The sequence below is a fragment of the Homo sapiens genome, chromosome 7 (genome assembly GCF_000001405.40).
Source record: "Homo sapiens chromosome 7, GRCh38.p14 Primary Assembly".
In the NCBI taxonomy this organism is placed as follows: domain Eukaryota; kingdom Metazoa; phylum Chordata; class Mammalia; order Primates; family Hominidae; genus Homo; species Homo sapiens.
Window position 1 is genome coordinate 147,414,423 of NC_000007.14, and position 21,241 is coordinate 147,435,663.

Here is a 21,241-nt window from a genome sequence, read left to right on the forward strand (position 1 = left end):
CAAAAACATTAAAAAAAAAAAAAAAAAAAGGATGCCAACAATATAATATAACAAAATATCTAAATGTGTAGTTGTTTGATACTTATTGACTGACTTATTTTTTGATTCACTATCAGCAGCTTTTTCTTAATTTGGCTCTTTCATTGCAAGGAACTGTAAGTCAGAGTTCTTAGTTATGAATAAACAAACTAAAAAGACAGATGCAATAAAATTCAAATGAATTTAAGAAATGGATTCTCCCAGGTGCGGTGGCTCACGCCTGTAATCCCAGCACTTTGGGAGGCCAAGGTGGGCGGATCACGAGGTCAGGAGATCGAGACTATCCTGGCTAACAAGGTGAAACCCCGTCTCTACTAAAAATACAAAAAATTAGCTGGGCGAGGTGGTGGGCGCCTGTAGTCCCAGCTACGCGGGAGGCTGAGGCAGGAGAATGGCGTGAACCTTGGGGGGTGGAGCCTGCAGTGAGCCGAGATCGCGCCACTGCACTCCAGCCTGGGTGAAAGAGAGAGACTCCTTCTCAAAAAAAAAAAAAAAAAAAAAAGAAAAGAAAAAAAAGAAATGGATTCTCTATCTGAGAACTGATAGAAAACAGAACCCAAAGAGGGCAAGACAAAGTCAAGGCTCTATCACCTGTCACCAGAACACAATGTTCTAGACTCCCCTCAGCCATACAGAATAATCCCTAAAGCCCTACACCTTTGTATACCTCCCTCAAAATGTGGTTTCAGGTGGGAGCATACAATTGCTTATGCTGACACCTCTTTCAGAGCTCTCACCCTTATTCTCCCACCTTGGTCTGTCTTATTAAAGGGTGCTGCCCTGCCTTCCACTTAATTTGAAATTTCTTTCTAATAGACATGTCTTCTACAGAGATCAGTTCAAGCTAGTCCAATTGATAAGGTTAGGCTTTGTGTCCCTACCCAAATCTCATCTTGAATTGTCATCCCCATAATCCCCACGTGTCAAGGGAGAGACCAGGTGGAGGTAATTGAATCATGGGCATGGTTTCCCCCATGCTGTTCTTGATAGTGAGCTCTCACGAGATCTGATGACTTTTTAAGCGGCTCTTCTTCTTTCACTCATCACTTCTCCTTCCTGCCGCCTTCTGAAGAAAGTGCCTTGCTTCCCCTTCACCTTCGGCCATGATTGTGTTTCCTGAGGTCTCCCTAGCCATGCTGAACTGTGAGTCAATTACACCTCTTTCCTTTATAAATTACCCAGTCTCAGGTAGTTTTTTATAGCAGTAAAAAAATGGACCAATACACCAAGTAAGAACAACTTGTAAAGCTACACATGGAATGATTAGGAAAAAAAATGTGAAAATTCATAACAAGGGAGCATAACCATTGAATGACCATATCATTTGCCGTTAAACCGGGCCTTTTTTAATCATGGAAGGAGTGTAACAAGTGTGAACTGATTCTACACCGGACAGGCCAAGGTGCATGGTCACCTTACCTAATAAGTGTGAGCCCTCCTGTGGCTTATACTAGAGAAACTTCTTGATTCAATAGAGCTTTAAAGGTATGCATTCATGGATCTCCACCCAAACGCCCTGCATTAAAATATCTGAGCTGTATTGCACTTATCTGTTTCCTTTAATCCCAAACCAACTGAATTTCTCTGCTTATAGTTTTTGCAGTCTTATAAATTCTGTGATGGGCATATGTTGCTTACTTTCTCAGCAATGACTTCCTGTGGGTGATTCACACCCTATTTCTTTCCATCAGCCTCTGTTTTCTGTTTGGGTTCAGAGAAGTTGATTTGTCTTCAATTACAATCAGTTTCTCAACCTGTGGCCACAGGGACTATTTCAAGAACATTCCCATGATTAAGGCCACACAGCCTGAAACTCATGCGTGATCATGAGCAGCTTGGCCTTGGACTGAAGACAAAGTGGAGAACACAATCAGAAAGAGAAATAAACCACAATCTTGGTGGCTGTCAAGCCACTGGATCAAGTCTACACCCAACTCCACATTGAGCCAATAAAGTTCCTTTTTTTGTGAGTGCAGACTTAGTTGGGTTTTTGGTTTACAGCCGAAACCATCAGAACCAATACAACTCCAGTGTTCACAGTGCCCCATATTTTGTCCTGAGATCCCTCCACAGTCCCCTTTGTTTCAGAATGGCCAACTGTTTTCATATCTTATTTCAAATTTAAGAAAGGAAATTCGTTGGCTCGATTTATCTTTTATCTCCAGAATCTAGTAATATGTTGCTCATCAACATATGGTTCGGCTGCTAGGTCAAGTGCCCAGCCATAAACCAGCCTCTGGGGCTGGATGGGAGGGCTGCTGTTCTTCTCTGAAGACCTGTATCCATTTTCCTGCCTTGCAGATACCAGTAGGACCAGTATTAGGACATCTGCATAAGATTTAATTTTAGAGGCCGTGTGCAGTGGCTCAGTAATCCTAGCACTTTGGGAGGCCAAGGCAGGCAGATCACCTGAGTTCAGGAGTTTGAGACCAGACTGGCCAACATGGTGAAACCCCATCTCTACTAAAAATACAAAAATTAGCCTGGCATAGTGGTGTGCACCTATAATCCCAGCTACTCAGGAGGCTGAGGCAGCAGAATTGCTTGAACCCAAGAGGCAGAGGTTGCAGTGAGCCGAGATTGCGCCACTGCACTCCAGCCTAAGCGACAGAGCAAGACTCTGGTCTCAAAAAAAAAAAAAAAAAGATTCAATTTTATGCTGCATATTCATTATCATCTTTGCCTTTTGACTGTATCATCTCAACCACGGTTATGTATCACAGAGGCTTAGAATATTATAACTCATTGTTTTAGTTTATCCAGGCTGCTATAACAGAATACCATAGACTAGCTCATAAACGATAGAAATTTATTTCTCGCAGTTGTGGAGGCTGGGAAGCCTGAGTTGAAAGCGCTGGCAGATCTGGCATCTGGTGAAGGCTTGCTTCCCAGGTCATGGATGGCCATCTTCTTGCAGTGTTCTCACATGCTAGGCAGGCAAAGGAGCTCTCTGGAATTTCTTTTTTTAAATAACAGCATTAATCCTATTCGTGAAAGTGGGGCCCTCCTAAAAGCCCCATCTCCTAATACCATCACACTGGGGATTGGGTTTCAATATATGAATTTTGGCGGGGACATAAACATTCAGTCTCTAACATTCACCTTTTGCACATTAGAGAACGTCTACAAAGAAAACGTTAAATTTTAGTTTTGGAAAACTTCCTTTCCTTTTCTCATTTTTATTCTTTCCTTTAGCAATGTAATTATTATTGTATGGAACCCGTATCTGATGATGGTGAGTTTAAATGGATCAAAATTATTGTTCCTTAAAAGCAACACCAAAATTTTATAAGATATGCTGCATACTAATTAAAGCTCAAGGAGCCCCAGGCAAGAAAGAAAGATAAGCCATTGCTTAAGTTATGCAAAAGTGTATTAAATATTTGAGATTAATTAAAATCTAGAGAAAGTTTTTTAAGAGTTCCATTTAAAGTTTGCATAAAAGTTCACGCAATTATTATAAAACATTTGCTATCAAACTGGTTTGATGAATAAGGGAAGTCAATTAGTAACATAGTGAAATAAGAGTTAATTCATGTTTCTCTAGGTAATTTCTTTCCTTTGTTCTGTAAAAGTCATTTATAACTACATAATAGTACAATCATACAATAACAATTATATGCCAATACCCACTGTTTTACAAAGCGATGGAAAGCATAGTTCTATGGTACTTACTTATTTTCTAAGTGAATAATATTCTTCTTAAACCCATCCTGAAAATTTCTACAATAAAAGATTCATTGATGGAAAGTCAAAAAGTTTGATTTCTGGTGGTTTTTGTTGTTCATAAAGGAAATGAAAGCACAGCTTTTACTGAGCAGGTGGTTCCTGGTGTGTGAGCCCTTAATGGAAGAATGATCTGTGTCAACAGGACTGGGAAAGTTCTGATTCTGACTTCTGAAATTGACCTTTATTCTCCATTTCAGAACACATAAGCCACGGTATCCCTTTTATTATATAGACATCGATATGAAGAGAACAAATAAAGTCACACCAAGAATGTCTGGGCTTGTTCATCTTACACAATTTATTATTTTTGAGGCTATCACTTAGTGGGGAAAAATTTTCCTGCACCCTAATGTAAAATTGCAAATGTGTTTCCCCAGAGTAATGATAGTCTAAAAATGAGGGACAGTGAGTCGTAATTAGGATTAGGCTTGGGAAACAAGTTCACTTATATTATAGCATGTTGCTATGGCAAAAGGAAAAATATGGTCTGATTTTCAAACAATTGACTGGCAAATGGGCTTATCCCATGCCATCTATTAATAATCAATACAGCTTATTCAAAGGACAAAAGTCACTTTCTCTATAAAAGAAAGTGGGACAAATTTAACAACGGTCTACTTTACTGCAAGTTAGGATAGAATCTAGAGGTAAGTAAAAAGCTTTAGGTAATGTCTTCAAGCCTCGAAGCACCAGCTTTATTCTCACCGGGGAACAAAGTCTAAAGAAACTTTCATGACCACTGTGTCTGATAAAGAATGAAAATTCTGCTGAACTCAGTGGTGAACGTACTCATTATTAAACGGACTCAGAAATACTGTGGTTCAAAGCATGCTTCCTAAAAATAAAACCAATATAATCTATGAAGAAAGATTTCCAATGCCAAAAAAATTTCAATGAGCATTCAAAGGTTGAATCCATAGCCACCACATGAAATATGATATAAGCAAGTCAGTAAGAGCCACTGAAGTGTACGGTTTCAGAGTGAATGTTTGTTTCCCAGGGAGGAGAATCCAGGCCTTCCTCTCTTCTCTCTATGCCCTGCCTGCCCTGCTGTCTTCCAGCCTGCAGGCAAGTTCCCTGTTGCTTTCAAGCTGGAGCTTGGCACCACAGGAGTCCCTGCTTGCCCTCTCATTCCCACCACCAAAGCCTCCTGGCAGCATTTTTAGCTGTGTGGGCCTTATATTCAACAACAAAGATGAAGATATATGGCTAGGAGTATAGGAGAAATTATGTTCTTGATATTTATTTGGAATATTAAAAAGAACAAAAAAATGAGCTCTATGTTCTACATCACATCATACTGTCTAGCAAGATGCCTTATTTTTATTTAATAATTTCATTTATAAATTGCCTCTTTACAATTATGATTGAAGACTGAGACCAAGGGAAAAAGAAGGCAGAAGTTACAATATTTCCTGTGCCTGAGCTTAAATTTTGGCTTCCAGTTTCTTGGAAGCTTTCTTACAGGGTTAGCATACATCTCAGCTGGAGTTTCCCATTTAGATTATCTACCAGTGTTTTTGTAGGTGTTGGCTTAGTATATTACCAACATTACTGCATCAAATTTGAAAATAATTCTTCTTGATCTGGTCCCAGATTTGATCCAAGAAGCACATGAGTCTGCAGGATGTATTCAGACTCAAAGTTCTAGAATAGTTATAGATTGTGATCTCTCCAAAACTCTCTAATCTGGGTGTCATTAGGTATTTCTTGAGTCTTTGCTATGCCACTTGCTGTGCTGGGTGGATCACTAGCAGCAGTCAAATTTCCTTCCCGACCCAGACATCTTATCAAATAAAGCTTAGAGGCAGAGATTCCACTAGACACACAGGGCCACGAGTTAATCTTTGTGAATAATTTCATTGTTAACTATTGGGACAAGGTACAAAAAACAAAAACAGAAACTTGCTAATGGAATACACTTTCTAAGATTATAAATTGCACCATTTGCCAAATGTATACTGTTAGAAATGAGAGCAATAATTTGCACTTACTGTAAGTCCAGCATACGGAGAGGGTCATATGTTGAAATGCCATCTCTATTGAGGTGTCATAAAAAATATTTCCTCCAGCAGCACCCAGTCATTCTAAGGTATTAGGTATAATTTTTAAAGTATTATTTGGTGTTCTGAATACCAAAAAAGTACATCTTGAGTACCACAATTGGTGACATTAAAGTTAATTATTTTCATTAAATATTGCAGTGCTGTCATGAGGAATGAAACAGAAGAGCAAAATGAGGTTAGAGATGGGATGTGTTCAACATTGCTCCCCAAGTATTTCCAAATAATTAATGTATTCATTGAATGATATTTATTGAGGGTCAGAAAAAGTGCCATGGTATTTGATACAGCAAAAGATCACATTTATGATTTCATTCTGTCACTTTCTGCAACAGGTAGCATCCCCTTGCCAGCACCAAGGCAGGGTTGCATATTTGAAAGTTACTCCCTCAAAAAATTCATTTAAATAAATAGATTTTTTTAAAGAAATTATGAAATACTAACGTTGCATTCAGTTAGTGATTTTATATGGTGTAGGATTGACATTAAAAAATACTTGTCATTAATTTTACTCTGTATTAATGTTATATTAATAATTTCTGAAAGTAACCAACCATTCTAACTGCAGAACCCAGCTGTGGACATGAGTTTCTAGGGGAGGACTCTGAAATTGTGTCAATGTTTGTAATCTAGTCCTCGGAGAATACAAAATTTTTGACAAAGAAGGAGGTTAAGGAGTGTTTTCTTTTTGATGTTCACCTCCAAAGGAGGATCATAAAGAAGTAATTCTTGAAAAGTATTGCAATGCAGTCTTCACAAAAAAAGCTTATCCCTGAAGTACAGAAACACACTTAAAAGGAACATAGATGAAATCTCTATTCAAAGAGTTTGGGTTTGACCTTTATGCATTACATATTATCACTGTTTTGAATTAAGCTATTACTGTCTCATTGTTATTTTAGCAGCTAACAAATGAGTAGGTGTTCTGAAAAGCAGTGTTTAGCATCATGTAAAATGTTATTTTAAAAGTTCATTTCCACTGAGAGGATTTTCTAATAACCACGTTTCTGCTAGTAACTCAGCCATATATATATAAAAATATTGAAATTAGAGAAATAGAAACTACTGCTGTGATATAATTTGATAGAAAAATATTAATAGATGGTAGACATTGTAGAGTTTCTTTCCATGTAGAAATGTTACATTGGAGGATTAACAGCACTTTTATTCATTCAAAATAGTCACAGCATCCATTCTATTTTAAAATGTTAAAATACAAATACAATTAACTAATGTATTTATCCACATTATCTAAATTACACAAATAAAATATATATTTAATATTATTAAAATATCTAGGGATCTGATATGTCCTGGTATGTCTATCTAATCTGTGTGTGTGTGTGTGTGTGTGTGTGTGTATGCTGAGATATATATACATAAAGATATATACATCTATAGATATTGATATAGTTTGGATATTTTTCCCCACCCAAATCTCATGTTAAAATGTTATCAATGGGGCCTGGTAGGAGGTGTTTGGGTCACGGGGGTGGATCCCTTGTCAATGGCTAGGGCCATTCCCTTGGTAATGAATGAGCTCTCACTCTGTGTTCACTTGAGACCTGGTCATTTAGAGGTGTGTGGCACTGCCCCCTCAACTCTCTCTCCTGCTCCCATTCTTGCCCTGTGAGATGCTTGCTCCCTCTTGGCCTTTTTCCATAAGTAAAGCTCCTTGAAACCTCCCCAGAAGTTGAGCAGATGCCGTCAACATGTTTCTTGTACAGCCTATAGACCGTGAGCCAATTAAATCTCTTTTCTGAATAAATTACCAAGTCTTAGGCATTTCTTTATAGCAATTCGAGAATGGCCTAATAGTGTGTGTGTGTGTAACTACAGTATATATACAGTATATATATATATAGTATGTATATATACAGTATATATATATAGTATGTATATATACAGTATATATATAGTATGTATATATACACTATATAGTATGTATATATACACAATATATATACTGTATATATAGTGTGTATATAGTATACTCATACACACAATATATACTGTATATATACACACACACTGAGCATATATTCATCCACACATCCAGTCCTCTCAGCCATGGCTCTACCCTGAATTTATACACTATGTATGTGTATATATACGGTATATACATTGTGTATGTATATATACATACTATATATGTAATCTGATATATGTGTAACTACTGATTATATAATTCATAATATTTAAATTCCCTTATGCAATTTTTTACTCTGCTATTATCCTAAATTTATAATCATTCCATAATGAAGCAAATAAGCCTATGCCTCATTCCTGGGGTGTTTAGACCCTGTTTAGATCCTGACAGATGCAATGTCTTCAATTAAGTTCTTTTACACACTGAAGGGATAGTTCAGGAGGATCATTAATACTGATACCATCTAAGCAGAAAATAGTCACAGATAATTAACTAAACTTAATCGTACTTTAGTATGGATACCTTCTTTACATCGAGGATCAATTTTAAGTTCACTGAAATGGATGTGGTAAACATATCAGAGTTACCTCCTGTGGCATTATATTTGTAGTAAATGTAGTTTTTCAAAACCCTTTAAATACTTGAACATATTTTTAAGCTCACAAAATACTTTGTTATTATTGCTTTGGAGCCAAATTTTCCAATTGCAAATATCTAATGATAATTTTTTATATATAACTTTACTGCATACAAGTTGGCAAAAGAAAAAAACAACAACAAAATTTTAACTTCTTTGTAAGAAATCAATTGTAGATAATGAATGATCGAGCTACTTTTCTGACCAGTCAAGAAGTGTGAACAGATGCTGGAACTGAATAGCAGTTGCTAAGACTTTGCAGGCCGACCACCACCAGGCTCTAAGTGTCCTATACAACAGGTGGAGATATAAGGACTTCTTTTAATTGCAAGACACATGATGAAAAATAAAAGGCACATTCTGTCCACCCTTAAAGTTCTTTCCCTAATTCCCTAAATTAGGTTCTTGTGAAATACCTGTAGTTGTTATGAAAGTCATAGAATTTAATTTATAGGTGTCTCTTAATTAAGTTAGGTTAGCTAGCTGATGTTTGTTTCAAGGATCATGGAATCGGCCATGCAGTAATTTATATGCCCAAAGAAAAACCTGATTAAAATGCTTAATATGATGAACAGACCTTGAATAATCTTCATAATTATAGAGTACACACTACTTACATTTTTGAAGTGGTTCCAAAACCATTTGTCCACTGTGTGTATCTTCAAGGAATAAACAATTCACTAAACCTCCTCTCTATGGAAATGTATAGACCCTTGGCCCATCACCTCCTCATCCTTGCAGATTTTAATGCCTGGTTCACTGCTCCATGATCCAATAACCCTCTTGTAGTATTCTTTGGAGTTTTCAATATCCATGTAGACCATTCTTTCAATGAACCTATCTCTGAAATATTGGCCCTCCTCCATTGATACCATCCTCCAGCATGTCTTAATCACTCAGTTCCAAGATCATCTCCTGGAACTCAACATAATCATTAACTACAACTACTCCATAATTGTGCTTCTCATTTCCTGCAGCTCTCTAAATTCACTGTTAACAAAAGTTACATCTATGTCTTGTTCACTCATGTGCTCACTTCCCTTCCACTTAGCTTTAGTCCCACATTCTATCATTATGACTCCCTTGCAATCACCTTTGATTTCTTTGCTCCTCTCTCTTTCCTAACACTTGCTCAGAAAAACAGCAATGCTGATTAAGTGAAACTTGTGCTTCAGCATCTCCCTGGGGGGAAGAATGGAAGAATGTGGCTGGGGAAAACCACACACCTATGCTGATTGGTCTCACTTTAAATTCATAGCTCCTAACCTTCAGTGGGACCCTGGTGTTGCAATCCTACTTCATTCCGCTGCTCCATTTCCTCCTCTCCCCCAATACCTTCAATCTACCCATTTCTTCTTCAGCCAATTACATTTCCTAGTTGTTTAAAATACCTACTTATTTTCTTGTTCTCTTTTAAAGTAACAATCATCATTGCTTTCACTTTCTTTTGCCTCATTCTTTTTGAACCTATTTCAAAAAGACTTTCATCCCCACCATATCAGTCCCTGTCAAGTCATCAGCAATCTGCATGCTGCTAAATCTAGTGGAAAATTCCCAATCCTTACCTTCAGCAGCATTTGATACAAATCATTCCGTCTTTCTTGAAACATTTTCTTGTAGTTTTCTTAGTATTTCTCTCTCTCTCTTGCTTCTCCTCCTACTAAACCTACTGTTCCTTCTCATTTAGATGTCTCCTCGATTTTCTCATTTCCAAACAGTGGAGAGCCCCAGGTTTCAGTCCTTGGACTTATACTGCTTCCTGTCTACACCTACTCCCTAGGAGATCTCATTCAAGTTCCATATTCCATCTGTATGTTGACTTATCTCTCTAGCTATATCCTCTATTGAGTTTTAGACCTTACACACAACTGCCTGCTCCCAGTCAGCACAGTCTAACAAACATCTCAAACTCTTTGTTTCTAATACCAAACTACCATTAAAAATAAATGTTTCTCTCTCAGTTTTCTCCATGCAAGTAAATGTCAACTCCATTCATCTATTCACTCAAACCAAAAACCTTAGCTTCATCTTTCACTCTTCCTTTTGACCTTCACATCCAGTCCAACCTATCAGGAATGGCTCTACCCTCAATTTATACCCAGAATCCAGTCATTTATCTTCATCTCCATTGTATCCACTTCTAGGCCACCTGTTGGATGGACTGCTGCAATAACCTTCCAGTTGATCTTCCTGCTTTCACCCATGCCCTGTCCCCATGGTCTAATTTTAGCACAGCAGCCAGAGTGATACATTTCAATGAGATGTTTTCATCCCCATCCCATTCAATGTAAAAGCCAAAGGTTTTGCAAGTGGAATTTTTTTTTTTTTTAGAAATTGTTTTCGTTTTCAGATGATGAGAATAATGCATGTTCAATAGAAGTGTTTCTAAACGACAAAAAAAAAAAATTGTTATTCTCCTTCTTGTTCCACACAATGACCATTGCCTTTAAAAAAAAAAAAATCACTGTTCAGGATTGGAATTAGCTAGGTAGGTATGAAAAATAGAGAGGATTTAAGTTGTATTTGCAATATTACCATGGTGCTTTACTTACAGCCTCTCTCATTGTGGTAAAGAAAGACTGCTCCTTCATGTTACAGCTGGTTTATATGTAATTATTTTTTTTAAATCCTGTAAGAAAACTCACTCAACTCTCCTGAAAAACCCCAAAGTGCAGAGACAAAATATTCCATAAATATCTTTAGAAACTCCCTGATCTAGCATCCAGCCCAACCTCACAATCATCTATTTGCTCTCCACCCCATTGTCAAACCAAGCCATGTGGAATTTAATATGGCTACCTAACTTCTGGATCTTTCTCTGATAACAATTCTCATTTTTGTATCTGTTGATAAAGAATGCTTCTACTGAATCCTTCGTCCATATACCCAAGGAAGGGTAAATGGAAAATATCGAAGAGATGAATTTTTTTGAACTTCTTGTCAGCATTGTTAATTGAAGATGTATTTTCCTATTGATTTGATCATGTGTTACTTGATTTTGTTCTGATTCTCAGTTTAACACGGTATTTCCATCTGAAGCTTCTGATGCATACTTCATTTATTCTAACGTTAAACAGAATTTTAAAGCTCAAAAACTTCAATGTTAATTGACTGAAAATGCTAATCTATAAATTCATTTTATTGTAGAAATCTTATAAGGATATGTTGTATAGTTCTATGTCATTTCCCATGAATTTAAGATTTAGAGATTAAAAAATCAGTAATTTGTAAATGGTAATTTTATCTTGAGCAGAATTCTATGCCTGTAAACCAAGATTCTGTATCAGTCAGTAATAGGGCTGAATATGTGACGATGTGTACACAGGGAGGGTGTACTTTACCTTTAAGCTGGCCAAATGTGCTTTTTTATTTTTTTAAATAAAAAAGAGCCTAAATAGAAATCTTATCTGTAAATATTCATTGGTCCTAATTATCTTTTATAGAGTTGCTTTTACCTTACTCAGTTGTGATTTCATTATTAAAACTTCAAGTCACAGACCAACTAAGTGCTTCTTTGGTGTGTGTGTTTGTTTGTATCATGGATATCCAGAACATTTGTCATTGGATATGATCATTATAAAACTCTTGAACATGACTTCTCTGACCGTGGATCTCAGGAGCTGTACTTGAAGTTTCAAATCAGCTGGCAGTCAAAATGTTTAATAATTCCTTTCCACCGAGCAAAGATTTCTTTCAATTTCTATTCTAGGAGTTTGTACTTTTTCTAATGTATCCTGCACAACTAGGTCCATCAAGATAAATTTCTGTGCTTAATGTCATGAATAGAACAGAAAATATGTTAAAAAGTGATGGCTCCAAAGGCATAGCATTTTAATCTAAAACATCTGTGATTTTTCTTGTTCACAGAATGTCTGCCTCCCTCATTAATCTGTCAGGTTTTAAAAGATCTGGGAATGAATCTGCTTTGTTTACCACTATGTCTTCAGTGTCTCACCTGGGGAAAAGTTTGTGATAGATTTTTAGGGAATAAATTAGTTTTTGTTGGATGGATGGATGGATGGATGGATGAATACTCTTATACTCATCCTGTAAATATAAGTGACATAAAAATCATCACAAATAGATGTATTGCCAGGTGGTTTTTGATAATCAACTGTCTCAGTCCATTTGTGTTGTTATAACAAAATACCACAGACTAGGTAATTTATAAACAATAGAAATATATTTATCATGGTTCTGGAGGATGGGAAGTCCAAAATCGAGGCACCAGCAGGATTGGTGTCTGATGGGGATTGCTCTTCTTCCAAGATGGTGCCTCATTGCTACATCCTTCAGAGGAGAAGAATGCAGTCTCCTCACATGGTGAAAAGGATGGCCTGGAGAAAGAGAGTGTTCCATGTATTCTTGAACCCTTTTATAAGGATGTTAGTCCCATTCAGGGCCCTCATGCTGTAATCACTTCCCAAAAGTCACACTTCTTAATACAGTTGCATTGGGGATTAAGTTTCAACATGAATTTTGGAGAAGCCACCATCATTCAAACCACTGCAAAACAGAAATCAGTCTTACCTGGAAGTATGTGGAATGGCTTTATTGAATATGGGTTCTTTCAACAGATAGAGATAAGATAAGGTCATTGAACAATATGATTCTTATCAGAGCAAACAGAGGCAACGGTGACTGAGCATGGAGATATGTGAGAAAGTTTAACAATAGTTTGGATAAAATGTAGAAATAAAACCAGGAGGCCCCCGTCATGGAGAGTTTTTGAATGTTAAGTCAGAGATTGGGTGTTTTAGTGGGTAGATAACCAATAGGGAACACAACAAGGAGTACATAAACTACATCATATTCACATTGAAAACTGAGAGAATTGAACGGCAGCCACAATGAAGTACATGAAGAGAAGTACTAACTAAAAATAGATATTTTTCAGAGATGCTTTTACCATTTACAAATGCAGGTACATGCACTCTCTGCCTGTTATTCATTTTCCAAGAGGGCTCCAGGCAATCAACCTTTATCTTTTTTGGGACTTCAAAAGAGGACAATGTTAAAGCTGCATTAGACATACCCCAACTGTTTGTTTATGATGGCTTTTACTGTTTATATGCAAACCTAAATATGTAAATCTTAGAAAAGAATGCTAAAAGAAAGGGTATAAGGCAAGGAAAATCTGGCAAATTTTTAAATTTTAGGTTTCAGTTAAATTAAAAAAATAGTAACATTATCTTTCAAACGTGAAAATTTCAGTTGCAAAGAATAGTACAAATAAATCAAAGTAAATGTAGATTTAGTTGGCTCATATTAAAAGAAATACTAATCAGTAACAGTACAGCTTGATTTGTCATTGGATGAATGATGAACTGGGGAAATTGAGGCAATCACAAATAGTCTAGCTTCAGTTTACCTCCTCATGAAGACTTCTCAGAATACTCAAACCTACAATGAATCCTCAGCACTTTGCCTAAGGCTTGAGCCTTATAACCTACTCAATAAATATTTGCTAAATGACTTTGCCCTTACTAACTTTGCAGCCTTTTTTTTCAGTTAGTAATAAAACTACTTTGTATTGTTATTTGATATCTTCATTTTTCATCTAGACAGTGTAAGATGAAGGCCCTCTCTCACACTTTTCTTTCATCTCATACTTCTCATTTAATGATTAAAATTGGCAATACAATTAGCGTTACATAAATTGCATTGAATTAGATTGCTACTGTCTTCTACCCTAGAATGGAGGATTCAATTTATAGTTGACCTTTCTTCTGAAGCTTAATTGTTGTTTATTATTCAGTTTGTTCTACGGAAGTTACCACTTTCTTTTACATAGGATTTAGAGTGTATTTATAAGTTGGATTCTCTGCTTTTGGAACTTCCATTATTCACTTAAAACAGATTCATGCTTTAGAAAGATAAGGAGACAAGAGGAAGAATCCCCCTGTGTTTTATGTCCTACTTTTGTAATACCTGCTCTTCTAAGGTTGTGATTTTGTTGCTGTTGTTTTATTTCAGTAGTTTTTTGGGAACAGGTGGTGTTTGGTTACATGGAAAAGATATTTAGGGGTAATTTCTGACATTTATGTGCACCTATCACCTGAGCAGAGTACAGTACACCCAGTGTGTAGTTTTTTCTCTCTCATCCCCCTCCCACTCTTTCCCGATTCTCCAAAGCCCATTATAATATTCTTAAGTCTTTGCATCCTCATAGCTTAGCTCCTGTTTATAAGTGAGAATATACAATGTTTGATTTTTCTATTCCAGAATTACTTTACTTAGAATGTTGGCCTCCATCTCCATCCAGATTTCTGTGAATGCCATTATTTCATTCATTTGTATGTCTGAGTAGTATTCCATGGTGTGTGTTTGTGTATATATATATATATATATACACCACATTTTGTTTATCCACTTGTTGGTCAATGGATATTTAGTCTTCCTTATTTTTGCAATTGCAGATTGTCATTTTTTGATTTTTTTAAATTATGGCCATTCTTGCAGGAGTAAGGTGGTATATTATTGTGGTTTTGGTATGCATTTCCCTGATAATTAGTGATATTGAGCAAGTTTTCATATATTTGTTGGCCATTTGTATATCTTCTTTTGAGAATTGTGTATTCATGTCCTTAGTCCACTTTTTGATGAGATTATTTGTTTTTTTCTTGTTGATTTGAGTTCCTTGTAGGTTCTGTCAGATGCATTGTTTGTGAAGCTTTTCTCCCACTCTGTGGGTTGTCTATTTACTCTGCTGATAATTTCTTTTGCTGTGCAAAAGCTTTTTAGTTTAATTAGATCCCATTTGTTTATCTTTGTTTTTGTTGCATTTGCTTTTGGTTCTTGGTCATGATCTTTTTGCCTAAGCTATGTCTAGAAGAGTTTTTTCTGATGTTATCTTCTAGAATTTTTATCGTTTCACATCTTAAAGTCTTTGATCCATCTTGAGTTGATTTTTGTATAAAGTGAGAGATGAGGATCCAGTTTCATTTTTCTATATATGGCTTACCAATTTTTCCAGCACCATTTGTTTAATAAGGTATCCTCTCCCCACTTTATGTTTTTGTCAGCTTGGTCAAAGATCAGTTGGCTGTAAATATTTGGCTTTTTTTCTGGGTTCTCTATTCTGTTCCATTGGTGTACATCCTTGTTTTTATACCAGTACCTTGCTGTTTTGGTAACTATAGCCTTGTAGTATAGTTTGAAGTTGGGTAATGTGATGCTTCCATATTTGTTCTTTTTGCTTAGTCTTGCTTTGGCTATGTGGGGTCTTTTTTGGTTTCATATTAATTTTAGGATTGTTTGACTTAGTTGTATATGCTAGATGTCAAAGCAGGAAATAGATATTTGGTGTCAGAAACATGAATCTATTTATTCTTGTGTTCTCATCCCATTTTCCCTCTCAACTCACCATGAGCCAAATACAATTATTTTCTAAGTAAACATTTTGACAAATGCATTATATATTTAGCTAGAAGAAGTTTCTGCCTTCTATGAGGTCACAGCCTAGGAAGAAAGAGATTTGATAATGACCCAGTTAATTGGCTTGATTACAAAATTTTGGCTTTTAGTTAGCAGAATTCCTATTTAACTGGTTTTTCTAACCATCTCAGGATTAACCCATCTGTTCAGTGAAGATACTTAGAGAAACCTGTATTCTAAGAGGTTATTCAAAAGTATTCTCAGAGGTACATGTGCATATATCTTTTGCCAGTACAAGCTAGCAATCCAATGGGAAGATGTTTACCTGAAAAATAAAGAGGAAAACTAATCCCCTCAGCAAGTGTTTATCAACTGTCTTTGCCAGGCACCACCCACCAGTGCTCTACATGTGATGTGAGCATGCCCTGAAGGAGATCATAGTCTAGTGCAGCAATTAAACAGTAAAGAAATAATTACAGTACATTATGATGAGTCCAACTAGGACACAGAGGAGGAGGGAGCATTATAGGGTGCAGAGAAACATTCCCAGAGAACTCAGAGTAGGTAAGATACATGGGTTGAAGGAGCCGGGCACAGTGGCTCACACCTGTAACCGCAGCACTTTGGGAGGCCAAAGTGGGTGGATCACGAGGTCAGGAGATCGAGACCATCCTGGCTAACACAGTGAGACACCGTCTCTACTGAAAATACAAAAAATTAGCCGGGCCTAGTCTCAGCTACTCGGGAGGCTGAGGCAGGAGAATGGCGTGAACCTGAGAGGCGGAGCTTGCAGTAAGCCGAGATCACGCCCCTCCTGCACTCCAGGCTGGGCGACAGAGTGAGACTCCATCTCAAAAAAAAAAAAAAAGATACATGGGATGAAGGGAACAGCATGGGCAACAGAAGGTTAGGAGAAGCGCAGGTCATATGGTATGACTGGCTTGTTGAATTCATGATTAGGTTGGTTTGAGCAATTGAAAAGTGATTAATGTCAACCACTTCTCATTTTTCTTTTATTTGATAAATATTTCTTCTTACATATCTGGTCACAAACCTTTAATGAATTCCATGTAAAACAATCAATAAATTTTCTTATTCTTTCCCTCCTGTGACAATAGAGATGGTGTCTCTCTATCTCTTTTGGAACCTGTCCCTTTAATAGCTTCTGAGAAACTTTAAACTATAAACTTTTCCCTGTATATTGCACTGCTAGCTTCAAACCAAATCACTGCCATCAGCCTTTAAACATACTTGAGTCTGTCCCATATTAATCTTGATTTCACACATGTGCCCCTACAACCTCTGCTTCTCTTTACAATAAAGACTTGTACAAGAGTTGTCTCTAGCTCCACACTGCCACTTAATCCTGGACCGCTCCAATCTGGCTTTCACCTCCATCACTCAACCAAGACAGCCCTCCACAAAGGTCACTAATGACCGCCATGTCTCTTAATAAAATAGACTTTTCAGTCCTCTCCTTGTTTTTTTCTCTGGGATATGTTTGGCACTGTAAATCAGTTTATCTTTCTTGAAACAATTTCTTATGTTGGTTTCCATGACATCCCACTCTTGTTTTTCTCTATCTTTTTGAGTTCTGCCTGCCCCTGCTAATTTCCTTTTCTAGGCTTATTCTCCTTTACCTAGTTGGCAATTAGAAGTTCCTGAAGGCTCTGCACTAAGCACTTTCTCTTTGTTCTTTAACTTCTTCCATGGATTTGATTTCTGAGTACTCTAAAAACTCCCAAATTTAATTCCCAGTGAAGACTTGCCTTTCAGTATATCTGGGTTTGTTTAACATGCATCTCAAATGCATTTCCCATTTCTTATATCCTGAAATCTGACCTGCGCCCCTTGTTTTCTGTGTAGGAAAATTCACAAATATCTATCTTGTGCATTAGGTCAAGAGACCATGGAAAACTCTTTAAATTGTTAAAACACTTTAGAACCGAGTTTCTTAACCTCAGCCCTATTGACATTTTGAGCTACATAATTTCCTGCTGTGGGGGTCTCTGTGCATTGTGAGATGTTTGGTGAGCATTCCTGGCCTATACCCACTAGATGGCATAGCACCCCCTCCAGTTGTGACAAGCAAATTGTGTCCAGACATTGCCAAATAGCTCTTGGGAGGGATAAGGAGGCCAAATCAGCCCTTACTGAGAATCGCAGCTTTAGAAGGAAGATAAGAGACAAAGCTGTGTTTTTTAAAAAATAGAAATCATGCTGAAGTTTTCTACCAAGGAAATTATTAGTTCAGTTGTATGCCCAAAGTGTATGACATTAAGTATTATTTATCAATATCACTACTTCCCACATTAGCTACATGTTGTGAGTCTCATTGGTTATCTAAAATATGCTTCACAAAATTTGCCCAGCAAAGATTTGTCCAGTGAGCACCAAGAAACCCCATTTGGACCTTGCTGATAGTTCCAGCATATTTCCACACAATTTCTCTCCTCTCATCCTCCTAATCTCCCAACCACAGTCACAGTGTTTTTTGAAATCATATGCTCCTCCTGTCATCCAGTGTCACCCAGTGTTCTTTCTGGAACATCCTGCCCATTTCACTTAACCCCCCTTCATCCTGCAAACACAGCCCAGACATCACCTCCCTACAGAGGCCTTTCCTAAACCCCAAAGCCCTTTAGGTTTTCATGCACTCTTAGAGCTGTGCTGCTTTCCTTCACTGGCACTTACCTAAGTTTATGATTAAATATGCATTCGCATGGTTATTTGAATATTTATCACACCCAATAGCCTTTAACAAGGATGTAACACATAAGCTCTAAAACACTGGTGCCTGGCAGTGACATGTATGATTCATTTCAAAACAGAAAGGTAGATAATCAGGCACAAGGACTGCTACCTGGCTCACCAGCAGCACAGGACATTTGAAATCAGCATTGCACTAAAAAATGTCCTTGTTATAGTGGCCATCCGCAGAGTGCTGAATCTTTCCCCTGTGTCGTGACGCCTCTTTTATATCATAATTTTTAAATCTTCAACCATCATCCTCTAAAATACTATTTTTTCAGAGTTGTTAAGTTCCGTGGGCGAATAATTTGCATTCATTTTAAGACAAATTTGTTTAGGCGATAAATGCATTATTATTTTTCTCTACCTCACAATATGACATGGATTTTCAATTGAAAATTCTGCCTGAAACTGATTGGAGTTGGGATAAAGTTGTAGACAATCTATAGTAGTTCATTTGGTCACAGCGTGTTTGCTTTACTTTTGGATCTTGAGAAGAAAGGACTGTTATCTGCAGGGCACTCTGGGACAACTTCTTGGTGATAAGAGTGAAGACTCATATTTGCTTTGTAAATCAATAAAAAAGAGACCTTTCAGGCAAAAGTGTTGATGACTGAGGAGGACAAGTTGTGAATTTTATATTGGAATGTAATGTTACCTATGAAATTTTCCACCTATTTTAGGATTTTCATATTTTCAGATCAATCAAAATTTGTTGTGAACAAGGTTTCTCCTCCGTGTCCTACGAACTACAAAAAAATGAGTGCCTGTGGGTGTTTTCAAACTGCCTGTGGGTAGACAGAGCTATGTTACTACCTGGAACTCTGTGAATGTCTAAAAGAAAGTCAAAATATCAAAATCGAAAAGGAACTTATTTTCTTTGATATGTCTTGTTGTATGACCTTGGTAGGAACAATGACAAAATTTTGACATGTTCAGATGTCTTAGAACAATGAAATTAGTATATATTAAAATAGCAGTGCTTTGTTGTCCTTTTAAATAATACATGCATTTTAAAGTATTCAGAAGCTTTTTCTACTTTGTATAAATACCTTATCAGTCCTCTAAAATAATCCAAGCTTAATAGGAAAAAAAATGAAGGAGCTTTGTTGAGGCTTACTGAATGTCACAGAGCCTGCAAGGTTAGAACTGAGCATAGAAAGTGAAGAAATATGTTCTTGATGCCTATTCAACTGGGTTTCCTGTTCAAGGTTATGCACTCTATTTGCTAATAGTTGTAGTATTCTGTACCACAATTGCTGAGATTAATATCTTGAGAAAATATTGTACCATTCCAGTTAATAATTATGTTGATTTCTATTCTTCAGTTTAAAGTAGATATATGAAAATAGGACCTAGTGTGTGACCACTCAAAAACCCTATTTTCCTCACGTTTGTAGTGTATTTCTAAAGGCCTCTCCAGGATTATTTCAAAATCAAAATTGAAATATTGTCTACCAAGATATTGAATTAATTATGTATCTATTTCATTTTACTGTTTGAACACTCCCTTCTAATTTGTATATAGAGAGATAGAATTGTCTAGCACTTTTCCGAAGGAAAAAGAAATCAAGAATAATATTTAAAGGCTCATAATATCTTCCGTCTACATGTATTAATTGTATATGGACTTTAAACAAATACAATTAAGGATAGTCTTGTTCTGCATATAATTGATTTGCCTATGTTGATGAGATGCTGACAACCAGGTATGAAAGCTGGTTTTGCTTATCTAAAAGAGTGGACTAAAAGTAAGTTAAGTGGTTTCTTTAGTGTTCTGTAGCTTTAGTTGTACATGGAGCACCTGCTCCTCTTGGAAGTCACAGCACTTTAAGTAAGTTCGCCATGGTCTGCTATGCTGCGCAGACTAAGCTGTGCAGACTATGCTGCCCAGACTCCTCTTCCTCCTCTTTAGACTGTGGCAGTAACCTAAAAGACTTGGCCTCTGTTTCAACTCTCATGCCACACATCATCTTTTGTCTTTCCTGTGGTTCAGGTATTTGTGTGTGAGGGTTGAGGTGGGGGTGCACCAAATTCATACAGATTTCCTCAGTAGCTTTATTTTCTGAATTTGAGGCAACAGGACAGTGAAAAATGGCGATCGTTATATTGATTCATACAACACAGAGATCTGAAGGAAGCATTTTGTACAAACCCTGCTCTGGGTAACACAGGAAATGCCAAGATTTTGAAATGTAACTTTCTTGGTCTTGAAGACCAAATTGTGCTCAGAAAAGGCAGAGTCCCTATAAGTTTTGTCACAATAAATGAGTAGAGCCCACTGCAGGTTGGAAATCTACAAATCATTGCAGGGTATTATTAAGATAATAACTGCACGAGAGCCATCACAGCAGCAGAGGTAAGGATCTCTGCCAAGATTCACCTTAGACCGGTGATTCTGGAACTTGAGCAAGCCTAGACTCACCAGGAGGGCTTGATTGCTAGAGTAGGAGAATTTTCCCCGTCTTACATATAACCAGGTGATACTGACCACACTTGGAGAATCACTGCCTTAGGCATTAGGATCTGAGACTATATATCCATGGATTGCAGCAAGAAGCAGACAAAAACATTTCTTCATACACAAGAATGTTTGTGACTTAGCAAGGCTGTTATTGGAGACCTGGCCATTTTAGGTAGTTTTGTATAATTTGCCTTATTCCATCCAATGTTCTAATTTCTAATGTTTATAGGCTGCAAGCCTAGACGCTACTG

The 21,241-nt window shown here is 37.0% G+C and overlaps 1 protein-coding gene across 2 annotated transcripts in view, besides 1 other annotated feature; it reads left to right on the forward strand.

Annotated features, from left to right (window-relative positions):
• CNTNAP2 (contactin associated protein 2) overlaps positions 1-21,241 on the forward strand; it is a 2,304,198-nt gene that overhangs the window by 1,297,622 nt on the left and 985,335 nt on the right. The window lies entirely within an intron of this gene.
• Positions 9,361-9,892: an enhancer, noted in NCBI's record as "OCT4-NANOG hESC enhancer chr7:147120875-147121406 (GRCh37/hg19 assembly coordinates)". NCBI's record gives its function as "activates a minimal SCP1, AML or CMV promoter by ChIP-STARR-seq in primed H9 embryonic stem cells {active_cell/tissue: H9 hESC(primed)}" and the evidence as "EXISTENCE:reporter gene assay evidence [ECO:0000049][PMID:30033119]".